Below are 3,916 nucleotides of genomic sequence, written 5' to 3' on the forward strand. Positions count from 1 at the left end.
TTATGACTCACTCTAGTGACCTCCTTTTAACTTAATTACCACTTTAATGACCCTATCTCCAAATACAGTCACATTATGAGGTACTGGGGATTAGGATTTCAGCATATGAATTTAGGGCAAGGGAGGAGGACATAATTCAGACGTAGAAGGCAGATTAGTTGACTGTACTGGTGTAAGTTTCTACACGAATGAGCCTTGAATGAAGAAAAAGGAAGTTTGGTGAGAAATTTCAGCATAGCAGTTTTCACCTGGGACATTTATTCTTGACAATTTTGAGGGTTTCCCACAGTTGTGAAGGTTTTTCCTTTCCTTGTGAAGTTGAGGTGTGACTGTAAGGGATTATTCTCCCTTCCCCCACTCCCACCTATTCATGAAGGGTGTTTCTATGTATGGTACTGCATGTTCCACTCTCCAAGCACAACACGTTCTTGTGGGGAAGTACACCGCCAATGCCAAGGTCAATACCAGGAAGATGCACGCCCGTTGCTGCAGGCCCGTGAGTGAGAGCAGAGGTTTTTTTTTTTTCTTTCTTTTTTTGAGATGCCAGTCAGCCGGCTCCGTGTTGGTTGTCAGCTTGAAGCTGCTGGTGGGGTTTCCTACGGCTAGACAAAGAAGATCCTGGGCTTGGAATTAGGGCTTTTTATGCTGTGAGTATAGAAACCAGGATAGGAACTCTGGAGTGAGGAGTGTCCTATGAGGGCACGTTGAGGCACTGGGACCAGCGCAGGGAAACAGCAAGAGAGCAGGCAATGGGATGAGGAGAAGCTGCAGTACTGGGGAGAGAGGGCTGGGATGGAGGGACGGGCTCATGGAAACAGGACAGGCTGTGGCCCTCCCTGGCCTTTGTCATTTGGACTCACCTCTCCAGCCATCACTGACAAATTGATAAGGAGGGTATTTGGTCAGTGGAGGGAATATAAGAACCGGGAAAGAAAGAAGGAAAGAGAATTGTGAGGTCTGTAGCAGCTGGAGGAAAAGGAGCTGCTATTGTAGCAGGGAAAACTGTTGAGTTTCTGTAGCCATGCGGCAGGGGCTGCGACCCCAGCTATACCGGAGTGGATGTTTTAGTCCCACCCTGGCCATAGTACACTCACAGAATCTCTTAATTGTTTATACTTTTGTGTTTTGTTTTGTTTTTCACCAGGAACCATGGTAATATGGCTATTTTTTTCTCCAATTGAAAAATAAATACCTGAATCATAAATAACAGGTGAATTAGTTGAATTACGTTGCAATTTATTTAGAAATTATGAGATAAGAAGCTGTTTCTGGAAATTCTACATCTTATGTTTAAATCTGGAAAAGTACATACTTTCATTTGGTATAAAAATAAAAAGTTACAAAATTGGATGATAAGTTTCCCTGTGAATATTTGGTGCATACTGGATGTTACAAAAAAAGACCGTGAAATCACAGAGATATAAAAGTCTTTGAGTTCCTTCTGTGCACACACCTTTCTTCGAATCTGCATCTCTCTGTATACTTATTGCATATGTTGTCAAAACAGGTCCTGTGCACCTGGACCACACCCCTACTAGAGCCATCACATGTGTTTGGTAATGACGTAGTTCTAGAAAAATAACTAAGCCATGGCCATATTTCTCTCTTGTTTCCTCATTTCCACTGTGTGTCAACATCTCTGCACTGAACACTTACTGGGGGAAAAACATCATGCTAGCTACTGTGAGGTTTTACTTGGTCTGAAGAAATGCTCTTTTGCCCTTCAGCAATTTAGGAACTAAGTGGGGTGACAGTCATCCTAACTCCCAGCCCATATGTCAGGAGAGAGGACTGTCGTATGGCTATATAATGATGATCACTCTGAAGAGGTTCTCTCCTTGGTAATCACAGAGCGCTGTGACTTGTTCAGACTCTACATATATTAGATTTGCTGTCTGGAAGATCTGTGCCATCTGGGACCTAGTGGACACAGGCCAAGAGGACCACCCATAGTTCAGCTCCTGTGGTTTTTCAGGCAGCTGGACAGCAATGCCGCACGGGCTTCAGGAGTCCATTGTAACAAGGGTCTTAATGCAGATGAAGTTTGAGATGGGAGAAGACTTTCTATTTAATTAGAAAAGACATCAGAGGGAAGGTGAGATGAAGCAGGTGGAACAGGAGGCACAATAGGAGTGGGTGGGGAAGAAGCACCCTTTTATAAACTAGCCTTTATTTGTGCATATTTACAATGTGGAGTCATGAGAAAAAGAAAGTGAGTGATCGTGAGTCTGTTTCTTGCTCATATGTTTTGGAACTCATTCATTCTGGAAATACTCATGGAGTGCTTGACGTGTATCAGTCAGGGACTGACATCCTGGGAAGACAACAATTAAGAAAACAAATTTCCAGCTTTTGTGCAGTTTATATGCTAATGGAGACAGCTATAATGCAAGAAAAATACATAGGTATGGCATATATTATCTTAGAAGGTGATGTGCTATGGGAAAAGAATAAAGTAAGTTTAAGAGGATGGAGGGTTATGAGGAAGTGCGACATTTGGAATGGACATTTGAGCAGAGGCTTGAAAGAAACAAGTGCCATAGGCCGTGGGTATCACGAGGCAGAAGAAACAGGAAGTGCAAAGGCTCTGAGGCGGCAGAAGGAGGGCAGTGAGAGAGGAGGCCAGCAGGCCTGGAGCACAGGTCAGGCTGTCTCAAACTCCTGAGCTCAGATGATCCGCCCACCTGGGCCTCCCAAAGTGCTGGGATTATAGGAGACTGGAGACGCAGAGGAGAGAAGGGCAGAGAGGAAATGGAAGCCAGACCATGTTGGGCCTTTGGGGCCCTAGTGAGAGCTTTGGCTTTTACTCTTAGTTAAGAGAGCAGGTGGGGCATGGTGGCTCACTCCTGTAATCCCAGCACTTTGGGAGGCTGAAGCAGGTATATCGCCTGAGGTCAGGGGTTCAAGACCAGCCTGGCCGACGTGGTGAAACCCCGTCTCTACTAAAAATACAAAAATTAGCCAGGCATGGTGGCAGGCACCTGTAATCCCAGCTACTCGGGAGGCTGAGGCAGGAGAATCACTTGAACCTGGGAAGCGGAGATTGCAGTGAGCCGAGATTGTGCCATTGCACTCCAGCCTGGGTGACAAGAGTGGGACTTCATCTCAAAAAAAAAAAAAAAAAAAAAAAAAGGCAGCCACTGGGGCATTATGCAAGGTGAAATACACTCAGATATTTCAATATTTCACGAGCTTGTGTTTCAGACCTGATGTTGTACTGAGTACTGAGGATATAGTGGTGACTGTGGAAGCAGCCTTTGCCCTCAAGGAATTTATTTTACTGGAGGATTTATTTTACTGGACCACCTAAGGAAGGGATGTGTCAGATTGGGAGCAGGCATAGCAGAGAAAGGACACAATTGGCCATTAGGTCTAAGACGTGAGCAGTACTTGGTCAAATGCTTTGACTGGTACCAGGAAGGCAACCCAAGACTTATCCTCAGTGACCCACCCCAACTCTACAGCCTCACCTCTGCAAAACACCATTCCCCAGGGTGGATTTCCCACTCTCGGAAGTCTGAAGTGTGGACAGGTGCATTTGATGTGCCTATCTCCTGAAATAAAATTAAATGCTTGGCCGGGTGCTGTGGCTGATGCCTGTAATCACAGCACTTTGGGAGGCCGAGGCAGGCAGATCACCTGAGGTCAGGAGTTTGAGACCAGCCTGGCCAACATGATGAAACCCCGTCTCTACTAAAAATACAAAAATTAGCTGGGCGTAGTGGCAGGCGCCTGTAATCCCAGCTACTCGGGAGTCTGAGACAGGAGAATCGCTTGAACCTGGGAAGTGGAGGTTGCAGTGAGCCGAGATTGTGTCATTGCACTCTAGCTTGGACAAAAAGAGAGAGACTCAGTCTCAAAAAATTAAAATAATAATAATTAAAAAAAAATACCTAATGCTTTTGGAGGAGGGGAG

This window comes from Homo sapiens, chromosome 2 (genome assembly GCF_000001405.40).
Source record: "Homo sapiens chromosome 2, GRCh38.p14 Primary Assembly".
Lineage (NCBI taxonomy): Eukaryota > Metazoa > Chordata > Mammalia > Primates > Hominidae > Homo > Homo sapiens.